Below are 17,672 nucleotides of genomic sequence, written 5' to 3'. Positions count from 1 at the left end.
GGACATATTGAGACTTCTTTGCTCACTGACAGGTGTGATTTCTAAGACCTTCCCTTTCTCAGTGATGAACAAATCTGCTTTCTTGTAGTTTCCTTGAGGGACGAGAATAGGTTTGTGTTTAGACTTCTGCAGAATATAAACGTAGTTGGACATTTAGAGCCTGTAGTTGGCTTATACTCCATTGTTACTCTTTTAAAACACAGGCTGCAGAGCATCTATGAAACAAAGCTATTGTTAGATACATATGCATTGAGCATTTGCATTATGTTAACACTGGTGGCTTCTAAAGAGGTCCTAGGCATAGTCCTTATTATCATGGTGTTTACAGAATAGTATCAATGGAGATCTAATGGACCTGTCATCTGACAGACAAGCTCCATTCCAGATTGGGTGCTTGCTAGCTGTGTGGCTCTATGTCTTTTAGGGATTTTTTTCTTGGAACTTGGTTTTCTCACCTGAAAATGGACTACTGATGCATAAGGTATTTGGAAGACTATTAAGATGATATAAATAAAGCATTTCTCACAATGACTGGCATATATTAGGCCTTCAGTAAATATCTGAGAAAAATTTGATGTGCAGGCATGAAAATACAGTGTTTCCTGACCAGCTCTGTTAATGCTGAGGGCCAAAGTAGGGGTTTGGCTTATACCATCTTTGAGAGTACAGAGCAGAAAGAAAATGTGATTAGCTGGAATGATCAAGAAAGTTTTCAAGGGGATGAGTGGAACCTTGACAAAAGGTGGGATTTTAAGAAAGGCAGATATAAAGAAAGGGGCAATCCAGGAATTTCACTCTCCCAGTGACCCAGGCAAAAATGAAAATGTGGGAATGCCAGGTGAATTTGAGCAACAGTGAGGAAGTAGTTGGCTGGGTCAGGGAGCAAGAAGGGGACCTGTGAGCCTGAGCCTGAGAAAGGTGGTAGGGACCAAGCTAACATTCTCTTTCTTTAAGGCAGAAGAGAGACTAGTGTTTTGGGACTAGGGTGCATGGTAAATTGATCATAGGAGAAATGCAGGAAGACAAATCAGAGGTGTTAATCCAAACAGCTTAGAGATGGACAGGCAGGTGGGGTACCACTGGAAGAGTGAGAGTGTCATGACATGAATGGAGGGATGGGGAATAGAAAACAAAATATGGTCATGTGATACTCAGAAAAATGGGTAAACCTTAGGTTCTGATTAAATAGGAGTAAAAGGGAAAAGAAAGGGCTCACAGTTGATTCCGACTCTTTGTTTTTGCATAACAGGGAAATAGTAGCCACTTTAACATGAATAAGAACGTCAGGAGGAAGAGCTGGCTTTGTAAAGGAGAAGACACATAGAAAAATAGGTGGTACTTTGCCCACCATTTACTTTCAGGTGTCCCTTAAGGGTCTAGAATGAAGTGAGAAGCACAGCTTCAGTGAATTCCAACTGGATTGTATAACATATTTTGAATATGAAGCATAATGTAGCATCTTTTCTACCCATGGCAGGGAGGGCTTTTTGCCAAGCAATGCTGGAACAGCACATCTATTTTGCTGGGCTGAGTCACTGTGCCATCAGAAGCGGTTCTAATCTCAGCTCTGTATGATGGTTGTGGAAAAGTTTACTTCCATTTTTTCCTGCATCTCAGAATTTTTTTTTTCTCTCTCTAAAAGGAATATAATGACATCAACTTGTCCTCCACTGCCACCACAACACATTTAGCGAGAAGTTTGCATATTTACTGAGAATGTATTCAGGGCTCCTTTCTGGGTTGCCCCTTCCCAGTGTTCCCAGAGGGCACTGTTGATGCCTCTGTGGCAGGAAGCATCACTGAGCCGGGCAAATTTTATTGATGTGTCTGTCTCCCCCGGGAGACTATGAGCTTTCCAAGTCTGAGACTAGACTTCTTCAAAATAATCCTCTTGTTTAGCACATGGAAAGTGAAAGAATGAATTAACAAGTAAAATGTGTATTTCATGTGTCTGTGGGATGGGCACTTCCTTGTTAAAAAAAGTCTGGCTTCTCTTTGATGGGCTCAGCTCCTCTGTGAAAGAAGCAAGAGGCAACTGGAAATGGTTGACTCCTCCTGGTATTTTCTTGATTCTTAATTGTAAATATGGTAGCTTCTCAGTTAAGGGAAAGGATGTAACATTGATGAATTTCAGTAATACCCTCACTAAAGGCCAAGCCCAAGAAATTGGACTTGAGCTAGAGGAGTAGCAAGTTAAGTACTAATGACATCCAAAGGCTAAGTCAACATGCCCAAATGTCAAAGCACTTAATGCATTACATATCTTCTTCTAATGACACTTGCATCTATGTGACAGGGACATTGGGGCATTTGTGGAAAACCCAAATATATATTTTCCAAGTGGCTGCTTATGTTTGTCGAATATAATGATGTGTGGACTTTTGTAGAGTGGAAATGAGTGGGAAGAAGAGAAATGCAGGGATCACATAAACATGTCTTGGTCATTCATTTTGAAAAACACTTATAAGATTACAGACTGGCATTTTTATACACCACCTTGTTTCTTGCTTTTGCTTTAGATTAAGACTGGTCTTTAACAATGAATTAATGTACTAATTGTTTTAACTTTCTCAACGTTCACTACTTTGTTGTTGCATTTCTTAGGCAAGTACTTGGAATGAACTGGAAATTTTGTAACATGGTGGAAAGAAAATTAATAATAACACATATTTTGCTGCATTCTTTTCTATTTGATGATGGTTCAGACAAAGATAATTTACAAATTGGGCAGAGAAACCAAATTCAATATTTGTGAGTTGAAGCCTGAAGAAGATAATAATTGCATCATAAAATACCTAAAACATCTCAAAATTCCCCAGGCTGTAGAAAGCAGCAGCTTATAAAACTCAAGCTCATGATCTCTTAATAGTTCTGCTTTATATTTTAACTGTAAATATAAATATATTAATTACAGAAATTACAATGAGACTTGCAGAAAGCCAACAATAATATTATTTGGCATTATTTTAATGCTTCATTCTATTGGCACTGTTTTCAGAATTCAGGTCCTGATTCTTGTGTACCTGTTTCATGCCAACATTAAGGATTCTCTGCCAGCAAATTTTTACATGAAATCCCATTTTCAGGTAGCTGCAGTCTTTGGAGAAAGGACCTCAAAGATATTTGAAATCCATAAGTGCACACTGAGCCAAGGCTCTGCTTCTGTCCACCCCACCCCAAACTTGACACTAAAGCATATTCAAAAGGAACATATTAGCAAATTGGGAATGGTATGATGTGTCAGAATTTTTTACTTTCCCTGTCTAATTGTTGGTTTCGGAGTAGAGAAAGAACAATCCAAGAGAAGAACAATAAATAAACAGTGAAGATACTCCCCACACTGCCTGGGACCTGATATTGAGAACTGAATGCAGTGATTAATCCGCTTTTGTGGATATCCTATTTGACCCTGTGCTATATATTTTGGGATTGGGATACTAAGGACTTACAGCATAGAAGGCCAAGAAAGCATGTGTAATCCATAAACAATTAACTGCAGCACATAAGAGTACATGATTGTTGCCTTACAAGTCTCCAAATTGCTATAGCTGTTTATATTAGAACTTGTATCAGCCAGGTTTCAATGAATACACAGAAAATTCTCAAAATATTTTAAGCAGAAGGAATTTAATACAGGGAATTAGGTTCTTAAAAATTGGTGGAAGAATTGGGAGCTGAGGTGCTAGGCTGAGCTGTCAGGAATATCTCCTAGAATGACTTGGACCCTCTAAAGGAGCTATTCCCTCTAAGGCTGCCAGTGGAGCTGGAAGGGGGACTGGAATTCAGTAGCTGCTACTTCCGCTATTACCATCCTAAGTGCCTGTCAGCACATTTAGGAAACTGAAAAATTGACAAGGAACGCCACCATAGAAGACACTCATCTCCTCAGAGCGTTGTCCCCTTGTGGAAACAGCCAAAGGGGCAAGGAGGTAGCCTCTACCTCATTCCACCCTTCAAAGTCATGTAGGTATAAATATGGCTAAATTTAATTCACATTAAACTCTAGCTGCAAGGAAACTGGGAAGATAGTTTTAGTTTTCTAATCTCTTCAATTAGAGGAAAGATCGAATGAAGACTGAGTGGGTCAATGGTCTGTATCCTCCAGAGAATTGGAAACTAGCACCTATTTGAGCCTTCTATGTTTAGACAATGTCCCAGAAACTTTAACTGCAGTACTTTAATTAATTTTATTTAATTAGAGATGGTGTTTGACTTAAGCCTAGGAGGATGAGTGGATGATTTATGGATGAAGAAGTTTAGAATAGAGCAAGGAGGATAAACCAGCAGTAGGAGGAAGTATTACTGCCCCAAACACAGAGGCATGGAAGGGAAGGATATATTTGGAGGTAGGGTTGCAGCTTCTGAGGCCAGGGCCAGGTAAGAGAAGAGCAATTTGGGTGCATTAGCAGTGATGGCGGTTGGGGTACAAGACTTCCCTTACAAATGTCAAACCCACCAGGAGGCTTAGAGGGACTAAGTGTAGAACATCCATCTCTCCATCACTGCAAAAAGTTGCTTCTCCAGCAAGCTCCAGCTCAAGGCTTTTGTAATCAAAATTTTACCAATAACTTGCCAAATCATCTTCTCTAACCTCTTAACTCCTATAACATTTACTGTCCCCATCAAACATTTAGTATTTAAATTTAACTTCCTCATTTTTCTCAACGGTTGATTGTTATGTACTGGACGGGTGTTTCTCACTATGGATTTCTAAAAGGAAGGACACATGACATCCATTCTTTTGTCCCCTTTGCCTCCCTCCATCCCATTCCAGGCACCTGTGCTTCCTTAGTAAAGGGGACTTTTAATACACTTAATTTTCCTTTGTATTGAAAATAGAGTTTCTTCTATTTTTTTCTCCTCCCATAATGTCTTTGCCCTTTTGGTGACTTCTCCAATGCCACCAGGCTCTCTGGTCCCCTCAAAGTGTTCCCTTTGCCTGTACTTGCTATCTCACTTGATGTAGTTTCTTTGTATTTATCTTTACCTTAAGCCAGTTACTCCCCTGCTTTCTCTATTTCCCTTCCCAACCCCAGTTCACATTCTCTTACTTTGGCTCTGTTCCAACCTCTTCTATATTTTTATATTTTGTCCCCTTTGTCTCCTTAATTGGGGTTCCTAGTTTTGTTTGTTTCAGCTTCTGCATCTGCCGCCTTCTGTGCTTTCTCTTGTTTATTTCACTCTACATGCATATATGTCTTCATTTTTATCTTTTCCTCTGGGTACTTCACTCACTCTTTCCCATTCTGTACCACACCCTTCACCCATCCTTGATAAATTACCTTGCTTTTTATCTATTCCTGTCCACATAAAGCCTCTCACCCCTTCTAGGACAGAGGAAGACCAACATGAGACTTTACTCTTTGCCCACCTGCCTCTATAACATCAGGGACTCAGGAACTTCTGACAAATACAAAGTTCCCAGCACTCACCACCTCTATGGCCATGCCTACCTCACTATTGACCTCTGTTAGGGTAACTTGGCATAGAAACAATTGGTTTTGAAATTCAACCCAGAATTTAACAAAGGGACCCAATATGAGACTGTCCTGTCTATGACTTGTTAGTTTTCATGGCCTGTCAGCTGCTTCAGGCCATGTTTTCAGAGGACAGCTGCTTCTGATGTTTTCAGAGGACAAATTTGTCTCTAGTTCTACACTGTCTGGAAGGCATATACACCCACACTCACACACACACACACACACACACACACACACACACACTTTTCACTCTCCAACCATATGTGTGTATGCATGTAATGTATATATACACACATATATACATATATATGAGTTATAAGCATATGTATATAAGTATATATGCATTATATATCCATAATACATACATATTTTATATACATAATACACACACACATATATATTGTGTATACATGCATTATCTACATAGTGCTCGTGTGTATTTTATATATATATATAAGTTGAAATTTTGGTCATTGAGTTAAGCATTCAGTAAGGAGCTTATAATAAGAAAAAAAAGGTCTCTATCAAATTCATGATTAGTGATTTAGATAATAAAAACAATGCTCTGAAATTTTATCCCACTTTGAAGATATTTAAGCCATCTCACATTTAATGATTTTATCTCTACCAACTGACTCTTTTAGTGTTGATGTGTTTCTTTAGACATTTTCTTTAACCTCATAAAATATATCTGAGAAATGAGAAAAGTAGTAGAGGGGGCATGAGAGAGGCAGGTTGCATCACATGGTTTCAAGGTGGAGAAATGAGAGCAGGACCTGGTGGAACTGCTAACTGAACTTGCTCCATCAAGCAGCCAAGGAGGAGACACCTAACCAGGATCCCTCCTTCATCTCCTCTCACTTCACTTTTCATCTGCATTTCTTGCCTCATTTTAGGGATCCTCCAAACTCAGAAATACAAACCTCAGAATTCACTTTAATCACTAAGCGTTCAAGCTGGAATTACAAGACATATTTTCCATATTTAGCTAAAAGTCTGATTCCAGAAGTCGATATCATAAAAATGAATGCATTAGATATAATGGATTGGATTATCTTTTAAGTGAATACTCATATGTAGACATTTAGAGAAATACGAGTAGAGGCAAAAGACATTTATTGAATCCAAATTGTTTTTAATACCACAGACATTATACACAGCAGGTATTTAACAGGAATTTTAAACTGCATATTAAAGTTATATTCTATACCAATTAACATTAGCAATAATTATAAAATAATTTATCACCAAAATGACCCCTCTAAATTTTAGAATTTGAATGTATACTTCACCTCTCCAGATTTGTAAACACAAATACTTTATGCCGACCTTTGGAAAGTATTAATGTTAAAGGGCTTATTTTGAATTGATAGAGATGTCAGAATCCCACATGGTAATTGGAAAACTCAATTGAAATAGAAGAAATATAAATTAATATAAATTAGTTGGTAAACTTTATTTTTTTGTGTGTGACAGAGTCTTGCTCTGTCGCCCAAGTTGCAGTGCAGTGGTGTGATCTCAGCTCACTGCGACCTCCACCTCCCGGGTTCAAACGATTCTCCCTCTTTAGCCTCCCAAGTAGCTGGGAGGTATGTCTCCCAGCTCCAGAGTAGCTGTTAGGTATGTGCCACCATGCCCGGATAATTTTTGTATTTTTAGTAGAGACAGGGTTTCGCCATGTTAGCCAGGCTGGTCTCCAACTCCTGATCTCAAGTGATCCTCCAGCCTCGGCCTCCCAAAGTGCTGGGAATACAGGAGTGAGCCATTTCACCAGGTCAGTTAGTTTGTAAACTTTACTGGACAGCTTCTCTGACCAGAAGGTAGGAAAGTGTTTGAAGAATAACCCTAGTGAAAAGATTCACTGCAAGATGGCTTGCAGAATTTCCAGATCAATACAGAAAGCACCACAGGCTTAACTTATTGGGGAAACAGAAGTGAGTCTACAAAAGATCTTGCTTTGCAGACACTTTTTTTCTGCTCTTAGAGGAACCCTGTCTGGCTGTGGGCAGACCTATCTGGGCCAGGTCTTCATTCCTGTCCTACACTGGCCTGCCCTGGGGATTCTACTGTCCTCCTGTCAGAAAATGCAATGGCTTCCTGTCACCAGTTAGCCCTGCTTTTCCTCAGCAAAGTTTATCAGATTTTGCTGATATGTATTAACTGTGCATATTATTACATTCAAAGAAAAACATGATCTCAATTTGGCTACATATTCAAAGTGCCGGTCCCTGTTGTCCTGCCTAACACTCTTAACTGCATACATTTAGCCGTTGGTTGGAGAATTATTTCAATTCAGATTGAAAAGAAACAGCTCTGGCCTTGGTTATTTTGGCATACAATTCTCCAATATGACTCTGTTTTCTAAGCAGACATTAATGATTCTAAAACTAATATTCATTGTTTGAAGAGGCACAGCGGCCTTGGCATTTACTTAACCTTTTGTCTCATGTATGAGACTGAGTCAGCCTAAATCCTCTTCTTAATTAATATCTTTTCTTTTTATGGCCAACGTTATTTATTGAACAATTTGCATGTAACAGTTAGAGCCACGAGAGCTTAAGAAAACTCGTCCTGCTCAGAAGTCCACCTGTTCAGATTTTTATTTATTTAGTTTTTAAGGTTATGCTGATTACATAAACTCAGGGAAAGCTTGACTAAAGTCATAGGGAATACATTAGGGCAGATATATCTTATGTAGGTGATCCCACCTGCTGGAGCCCAAAAGAAAAGAAGAAAAAGATTCCTTCTATTTAAAAATAAAGCGATTTATTTAAGCAAAGAGTATGGATTTATGCTGCGCTAGATATCTGCAGAAAACTCACATTAATGTTGGCCATTGTGTGGAGGGATGAGGCATAGCTCTAAATAAACCAATATGCTCAAGGAATAAGGTGTCGTATGTGAAGTTATTTCTTTTAAAATAACATGAAAAACTAAAGTAATAAAATGTTAAAAATAAAAGAAATAACTTTACCAATGGTCCTAAACCATTCCAAAAAGTGAACTACTATTTACCGTTTTCTCTCAAATTTCTGTCCACGTGAATTAATAAATTTGGCATAATTTTAATCATAGTACAGAACAGCATTTTTATATATATCAAGTCCTTCACTTTTGTTGACATATTGTTTCAATTTATTATATTGAAGATCTGCATAATATTCAAGTAATTAGATGTGCTCAATAATTTAATTAATACCATATTGTGGAATTACATTCTTCATAACATTTTTATGTAATATAATATTGCATAAACGTCTTGAAGAATATACCTGGTTCCTTTTTTTTGCCATGCAAGTAGAATTATTGGGCAAAATAGCATGCACATTTTCTACTTCTTGGCAATAATATTTAATAATATATCACAGTATATTTTGGTTCTAGCAATGTATGGGTATATTGGTTTGACAACCTTGCTAGAGATGCATATTATCTATATTTTTGAAGTTGTGCTAAATGGACATGTATAAAATCTTCTTGATAACATGGTTGACTCCTCCAAATCCAGTATTTATTATTTCAAATTATGTTATTCAAAATTTTGCTTAATTAGCTCATTGGGGAAAACCAAATATTTTAAATCATTCAGGTGCTTTCAAGACCTGGGGTTTATTATTAAATTACTAAATGCCAATAATTTTTATATGACTCCATGTGGAAATTTGGAAGATATACAAGATGTTTCTGAAGGTGTATCGATGCCCTTTTTTGACCAGTACTTAACATGAACTTACCGTGTACTGTGTGATTATTTCTCTTTTTGAAAGGGAACCAGAGGGTGCAAACTCTTTATTTGAGGGCCCTGGTGTCTCAAGGTTATACTCCAGAAAATCTCATTCTTTCCTTTCCCAACTGGCATTTCAAAGATATTTCAAGTACTCATATTACCAGATATTAAGCACTTCAGCAAGAAATTATCTAAATTTCCCAATTTGCTCCTTAAAGACTTCTTGCAGACTCTTTTTCAAATTTGCCTGTGGAGTGCAGATTTTCTTGTGCACAACACTGAATTTATTTAGGTAGTAGAAACCTTCCTAGGTGATCCTGGTTCTCTCAAAATGTGACAGATAAGAAGGCCAGTTCATAACAGGGCAAGGTAGATTTTTCTGGAAAGTAACTTGCAGAAAAATGAAAGGCTAAAGGTCTAATTAGAGATAGAAATTGTTTTTTAACATATTAGTTAGTGGTAAAAAAAATAAGTGAATGCTTTTTCATGTCCATAACGCTGCAGGGACACCCTTGAACATGTCTCTTTATAATATTTCTCCAAAGTATGTATCTGGAAATGACATTAATGGATGGTAGGAAATGGACATCTTCAAAGTTTTCCATCATTGACAATATTTTCTCCAAAATTCTTTTAACAATTTAGCACCTCCATCAATAAGGCATAGAAATTTCTACTTCCTTACATTTTCAAGAACCCTTTGTTATCAGATTTTAATTCCTGTCTAAAACTTGTAAAAGGGTAGGGAGTAATTGTTTTAATGTGCATTCTCTAATCACTAATGAAATAGAGCAGTTTAACAACAACAAAAAGAAAGGAAAGCCCTAATGGCCAATAGAAAGAATAACTTCTGATGTTTGATAGAACAGTGGGGTGCCTACAGTTCATAATAATTTATTGAATATTTCAAAATAGCAGAAGAAAAGATTTGAAACATTACCAACACAAAAAATAATAAATGTTTGAGGTGATGAATAACCTAAATGCCATGATTTGATCATTATGCTTTATATGCATGTATCAAAATATCACATGTGCCCTATAAATATGTGCAATTATTATGTATCAATTTTAAAAAGATTCGCCAGCTGAAGTCATCTCACTACAAATCAACTGCACCAAATGGTCATTCAACCAACACAGCCCCACTCCTCAAGATTTTAGATGACATTTGTCTTTAAATAATGAAGATCGCCCTGCAGGGATTATTGGATTATCTGTTACCATGCAATGTCTTAGTTACTATTTAGTACTTTATTAAAGGTTAGTTGAGGATAAGGTAATATGCTGAATGGTTTGGGATGGGACACTACCTGGAAGAAAGGAAAGGATATTGATTTTAACTAGATAGTATGTATCTTACAAATGGAATTATATTTTACAATAATAGAAGTGGAGTAGTAGTTATTTATGTAACACCTACAATTAGACACTATGCTACAGATTTTTGTATACAGTTGACCCTTGAACAACATGAAATTAGGGGCACTGGCCCCACATACAGTTGAAAACCCACATGCAATTTTTGAATCCCTAAAACTTAACTGCTAATACCCTACTGTTGACCTGAAGCCTTACTGATAGCATAAATAGTTGACTAACATATTTTATATGTTATATATATTATATACTGTACTCTTACAATAAGGTAAGCTAGTGAAAAGAAAATATTAAGAAAATCATAAAAGAAAATATATTTAGTGTTCATAAAGTGGAAGTGGATCACCATAAAGCTCTTCATTCTCATCATCTTCATATTAAGAAGGCTGAGGAGGAGGAGGAAAAGGAGTAGTTGGTCTTGCTGTCTGAGGAGTGGCAGGGAAGGAAGAAAATCTGCATGTAAGTGCACGCACAAAGTTGTTCAAGGGTCAATTGTACATATGTTTCATTTATTTTCACACACACACACACAAAACAGTGAGATAGGCATTATCTTCATTTAACACATTAGGAAACAATATTTAAATTCACAGAAGAGTTCAGTAAGATAGACAAAAACCCAATTTTTAAAAATGGACAAAAGATAGAACACACACTTTACCAAAGAAGAGACCTCGTTGACAAATAAGCACATACAAATGTACTCAACATTATTAGTCATTAGCAATATGCAAGGAAAAACTGTGATGAGACACCATTACATATTGATTAGAATTGCTTAAATTAAAATGACTGGCGATGTCAACAAGGATGCAGATCTACTAAAAATCTCATTCATTGTGGTGAGAAAGCAAAATGGTAGAATCATTTCAAAAGCTCTCTGGCAGTTTCTTACAATGTTCAACATATATTTACCATATTACCTGGCAATCTCACTCCCAGGTATTTGCCTACTGAAAATATAAGCCCACACAATGGACAAGACCTGTATACAAATACTTGCAGCAGCTTTATCCATAGTTGACAAAATTGAAAATAATTTAAAAGTCTATCAACTGAATAATGTATAAACAAATGAAATACCACTCAGTGATAAAAAGGTGTGAACTAGGATGGATCCAAAAGCATTGTGCTAAGTGAAAGAAAACAGACACAAAAGGTTATATTTTGTATGATTTCATTTATATGACATTTTGGAAAAGGCAAAACTTCAGGGACAAACATCAGATCAGTGGTTGCCAGAGGCTGGGGGTCTGAGGAAGGCATTGACTACAGAGATCAGCTGGGAACTTTCTGGGATGATGGAAAAGTTTTGTATATTGATTGTAGTGATGGTCATATATCTGTATATATTTGTCAAAACTCCTCAAGCTGTACATTTTAAAGGGTACATTTTACTGTACATAAATGCTATCTTAAATAAATCTGACAAAAATGTAGTTCCTATATAATCATGCTTTTAATCTTTTTACTTTATCTGGATATTTCTAGTGTCTTAGAAAATAGCCTGACACATAGTAGGCATCAAATAAAGTTATGTTAAGCAGTTTCTAAGGAATTAGGAAGAAAGATGACAGTTTGACAATGACAATAACATATTTTGCCCATTAATCAGTTTTATTTTTAAATTTTTATTTCATTGTGATAAGAACAGTTAACATGATATCTACCCTCTTAAAAATTTTTACGTGTAAAATATAGTATCATTAACTACAGGCATTCCAGTTTTCTTTAGATTAGTCCAGCCATGATCACTCATGCCTGGCACCATTTCTCTGAAGCTCACACTTATGCAAGTGATATTTCTGTGAAGCCGACCCATGAGTAATTTCTGAGTAGGTATTAAAACACCCTCACGTCTACAAGTCTAATATATTAATAAATGTGCTGTTTTCAATAAGACATCTAAATTTGCATGCACCATCCTACTTGTTATGTTCAGTACTCAATTTTTTAATGTTTCTTGGACACTAGCCAGTAAGTCTGAGTCCCTAGTTAGTTCATCTATTACTTTCTCGCCACAATAGATTTGGGTCTCCGCCAAGAAATGGACTAATATTGCATACAAAAATTGTGTAATGCATTTCCTGATCTTCTGATATGTCCTTTCCCAGTAAGGGGGGAGTATACACACACACACACACAGACACACACACACACATTCGTGCATGCGCACACACATCCTATCTATACACAAAATCTATCCAAGTTAGGTAAACATTTTTATTGTCATTATTAATATCAAGTGTCTTCTATAATCCAAGTGTTTGTTTGACCATTTACATGATTCTCTCACCCTGTGGACTGGAAGGGAACAATGAGTTGTAAAATCTGATGATGATCAAAGATGATGCCTCTCTGTGAAAAAAAAAAAAAAAAAAAAAAAAAGGAGTCAGTATTGTAGGAGCCCTCATTTCCACAGGAAAAGCACACTTTCTGCATTTGATTTGGCACATTCTCTGTGTCTTAATTTCAATGATTCCAAAATGAGATGCTCTTAAAGAAGGAAAATGTTCAGTATTGGAGAGGGGGCATTTTCCTCCCCTACCTTCATTTCCCTTAAAACATAAGCACAGAACTAATGAATGCTATTAAAGGCACTTGTAGAAATGATTCTGATTTGTATCTGATGACTAACTAACCTATTATTGCACTTCTTGGGCAGAGATTAATGGGTAATTCTTAAAGAATAAAGACTCTAACAAGCCTTAGAAATATGTGTGGGCCCAGACTGTACCACGTGACCTCAGAAAGCCGAACCCTGGCTGTTAATATCCTTGACTAATGAACCAAGGCTACAGTCCGTGCTAGCAAAGTGTCAAGAAATAAGTAACCAGAGAGGTGACCTTTTAACATGCTTCTAAATGTAATTTTTAACAGAACAGTGTCAATAAGTTCAAAATCCCATATGCTTTTGATCTGATATGGAAGTACAATGCATCAATATTAGACAGCAAAAGGGAAAGAGAAGAAAGCTAGAGGAAAATGGACAAAAAAGAATCCAAAAGAATAATCTCTAAGACTCCAAATACCTTTTCTTTACATAGGTAAGAAGATAAAAAGTTCTGGTTCACTATTTCAACATTATCATCATAGTGAAAAAAGTAATAATTAATCATAATAGTTTCAGACTATTTCTATTAATTCCTTTAAAAACTGTTTTTTGTTTTGTTTTGTTTTGTTTTTTTGCCTCGGTTTGAGACATACTGCATGACCTAGCAACCCTCCCTCTTCCTGCTCCTGGGTTTTCCATTCATACATTTAATCTTAGAGCATAAACTCTTGTGTCCATTAGATCTAGGGCCATTTCCCAGCTCAGACACTATGTCACTAGGTATATTACTTAAGTTCTATACAATCTCAGTCTTTTCATCTATAAAATGGGGACATTAATAGGATTTTTACTGGATTACTATAAAAATTAAATAGAGAAGTGAATCTAGAGATTTTAGCACAATACCTGATAAGTCAAAAGAGTTTTAAAGTGTTAGCTATTAGTAGAGTGACTGCCAATATTATTGTTATTGTTGATATAACTACTTGGAGTTCGTCTATCCCTTTTAATGCCTGTTATTTTCACCTTCCCAAGGAGAAGGCCACCACTTGCATAGAGTGTGCAGCAGCCCTCTTTGTACCCTTTGCAGAGCTCAGCACAGCGCCTCCTACTGGGTGGCTAAGAATGTGAAAAAGTGAATGAACACTGCCCATCTCATGAATATATTTCCTCATAATATCAAATAGTCACTTAGTATAGTCAGTAACTTACAATAATAAAAAAAATAAAGAAGACAGGTACTATTGGAGAAATGTACTCTTTTTTTTTCAGTCTTTTTAATCTTTTTTTTTTTTTGATAGAGTATCACTGCAGGCTGGAGTGCAGTGGTGCAATCTCGGCTCACTGTAACCTCCGCCTTCCAGGTTCAAGAAATTCTCTTGCCTCCGCCTCCTGAGTAGCTAGGACTACAGGCTCGTGTCACTGCGCCCAGCAAATTTTTGTATTTTTAGTAGAGACAGGGCTTCACCATGCTGGCCAGGCTAGTCTGGAACTCCTGAGCTCAAGTGATCCACCCACCTTGGCCTCACAAAGTGCTGGGCTTACAGACATGAGCCACTGCACCAGGCCTGTCTTTTTAATCATTGACAATCTCATTATTTAGGTATATTCAAGTTTTAACAAACTCATGTTTAGGATAATACAATCTGTCTAAAAAATTTGTTAGACAGGCAAGGAAATGTCTCTCCTTGAGTAACAGCAAAACTCTGTTTTGCTGTTTTGCCTTTCCAAATAGCCTATCCCAATTTTTGGAGCATTTTGCATTTTATATTCTTTAAAGTTCACACTGCAAACAATTCATGACTCTTTTTCCTTCAGCTCCACTCGGGACAGCAAATGTTCATGGGTGTCCTCTGTTGGGCCAGTTCCTGAACTCATTCTTTACTCTCAAAGGGCTCACTGCCTAGAGGTAGAGGGGAATTATAATACAATATAGTAAGTACTAAGGCAGAGAAGCTAACTCTTCCTGAATAGGAAAAGGGTAGTGAACAGTAGCATCCATTCATTCATTTACTCAGAATAGCACCATGAGTGGCCAATGGTGTCACTGTGAAGAGCAAGGACTCAGGATACAGACTGCCTGTGTTTACATCCTGGCTGTGATCCTGGCCAGACATGTGTCCTGGCAGGCCATATCACCTCCCCATACCTTGTTTTCCTGACCTGTATAATGGAGATCATAATATAACTTTCCTTATGGGTTTGGTATTAAGTTTAAATAAGTTAAGTTTGGCAAGTGTTTGGAATAGTGCCTGGCATATGATCAGCATCATAGAAATGTGTGTTAAATAAAGAAAAAATCTATCATCACTTCCTGCACAATCCTTCATTCAACCCACACAGAGATTCCCAACCTCAAAAAGTCAATAATCTTCTAAGGTGGGGGGTGGGGAGACAGGCAAAAAGCAACATATATAGAATGCTATATAAGATGCTATAAGATGACAAGTGCTATGGAAACAAAAAGATGTAGAGTAGGATAAGGGGATCAGGAATGTGGGGATGGGGCATGAGATGGTCAGTCAGTCAGGCTGGCTCATTGAGAAGAAGACATTGGAATGAACAGTGGGAAGAGATGCAGGAGAGGGTCAAGCAAGTGTGGGTTGTATGGGGGAGAGAGTGGGACAGGGGGAGCCCATCTTATGGCTATGCTCTGGCTCTGAGAAGAGTTCATATTCTGAACATATTATGAAGGTAGAGCTCATGTTATTTCCTGATGGACTGGCTGTAGGTTGTTAGGTAAAAAGAGGAGCTCAGATGGATTTCAAAATTAAATTGGATTGGTGATCCCTGAAACAAAGAAGGCAATAAAGCACAGGACTCCAACAGAACACACAGGCAAGGAAAGTCCTATAGTATCAAGATGAGAGTGGCTATACGTAGAAGTAAGATGGAGAAAGAGCAGGACATAAGTGCAGAGAAGCAGGATAGAGACATATCATAATAAACCTTACATGTAGTGCTCAGCAACCTCAGTTGTGCAGGCAGAGGGAGGTGCTGAGGATGTAGATTGTGGGCTGGGGATAACCTTGTACTTGTAGGAAAATGTCTTCCATTGGGGTGGGGGCCCTGGGGCCAGCAGAATGATGGGAAGTAGGGAAGGCTGCAATGGTTCTCTCCACACTTGAACTAAGGGAGAGGCAGCCAGGAAGCAATGCTATAGGGATTGAGTGAGGTTCTACTATGATAGAATTGACCAACAGTAACCATTTGGGTTGCAGGCCTGCAGAGGGGTGAGGAAGGTAGAAGTTAAAGAAAGCAAAATAGGAAACACAAGACAAGAAGCAGATTGAGGACATTAGAAAGCCCAAGTGCCTTAATTTTTTTTTTTTTTGCTACATTTTTCCTTTTTTCACTCCATCTGGTTCTTCCTCCAATTTTAGAAGTCCCGGGCAGCTGAGCTTGGAGTTTAAGGGATGCTCTCAGATTCTCAGATTTTATTCAGAGAAATCCTCTATGAAACTCTCAGGCTTCAAGAGCTCCTCACCATGAAGGCACCATGATGAATGAAAGGGGTCTTTTCATTTGAAATATTTAAAAAGTGACATAATTGTTGGGATGTGAGGAAAAGGAGACCAGGGGAAAAGGAGAAGAAACAAAACACTTTCCAGAGCTTCCCAAGAAGTAAGACAAGAGGAACTCTCAGAACATCCCTTAGGAGGACAACACTTTTATCCATTGTTCCTTAATTCCATGTTAGCAAAGTTTGCAGTCCAGAGCTTAACCTGTGACAATTCTGGGTGGGCTTGACTAGCCTGAGGCAGAAGCCAGTTCTTCTGGGTCTACTGAAACAAATTATTAAAATCATAACAGAAAAATTGTATTTGAAGGAGTTTGTTTCATGAGAACTGGAGCTCCTGTAAATGAATTTTCTTAGATCTATAGTCTCTATAGTCAGAGTGAGTGGTGGGAAGACAGTGGGGGAGAAAAAGATATTTTCCATGTCTTTTTACTAAACTCATAAATAAATAGATCCAGAAAAGACTCAAATACTTCTTATTCACCCCTTTTAAAGTTTTCACTGATAGCAGCCAACAAAATTAAGGACTACCTACCTTCAGTGCTACTTTTGAATTTAAGGAAAAAATTCTCAATGACTAAGGATCCTTCAAAGCCCCAAGAAGTCTTCCTTGGAGTAGGGCTTCAAAGATGTGGAACTATTTTCAGCCAAGTATTTTTCTTTGGATTTTCAAAGAGCACAAAAATAGACTAACCAGCCTAGATCAGGATCATTATCTTGATCATCTTCCATTATCATGATTAACAATCATTGAGCTGTACTATTTGAAGCTGTGTTGAATGCTTTCCAAGATTGCTTCACTATTATCAAACCCATGTTACTGAGGAAGAAACTGAGATTTAGAGTTTCAAAGTAAACTTGATCAACATTTCACAGTGGAAAACCAACATTTATTGAGAAACTATTTATCAGCCGGGATGGGCCCAGAAGCTTTCAGACCTCTCAGATTGCTTTTATTTTTTCTGTTTTACATATAAGAAAACTGATGCTCTAAGTGGCTCAATAACTTAT

At 37.4% G+C, this 17,672-nt stretch overlaps 2 long non-coding RNA genes across 7 annotated transcripts in view; one reads left to right on the top strand and one right to left on the bottom strand.

Annotated features, from left to right (window-relative positions):
- The window catches only part of LOC105374754 (uncharacterized), a 150,795-nt gene that overhangs the window by 99,032 nt on the left and 34,091 nt on the right, over positions 1–17,672 (top strand). The gene's annotated exons all lie outside the window — the stretch shown is intronic.
- Positions 11,077–17,672, bottom strand: part of LINC01793 (long intergenic non-protein coding RNA 1793) — a 61,693-nt gene continuing 55,097 nt past the window's right edge. The window contains exon 3 of the long non-coding RNA NR_110219.1: positions 11,077–12,945. This is a non-coding gene — a long non-coding RNA (long intergenic non-protein coding RNA 1793). The remainder of the gene's footprint in view (positions 12,946–17,672) is intronic.

Source organism: Homo sapiens, chromosome 2 (genome assembly GCF_000001405.40).
Source record: "Homo sapiens chromosome 2, GRCh38.p14 Primary Assembly".
NCBI lineage: Eukaryota > Metazoa > Chordata > Mammalia > Primates > Hominidae > Homo > Homo sapiens.
Note: the sequence above shows the minus strand (reverse complement) of the source record. Positions and strands in the feature narration are given on the sequence as shown.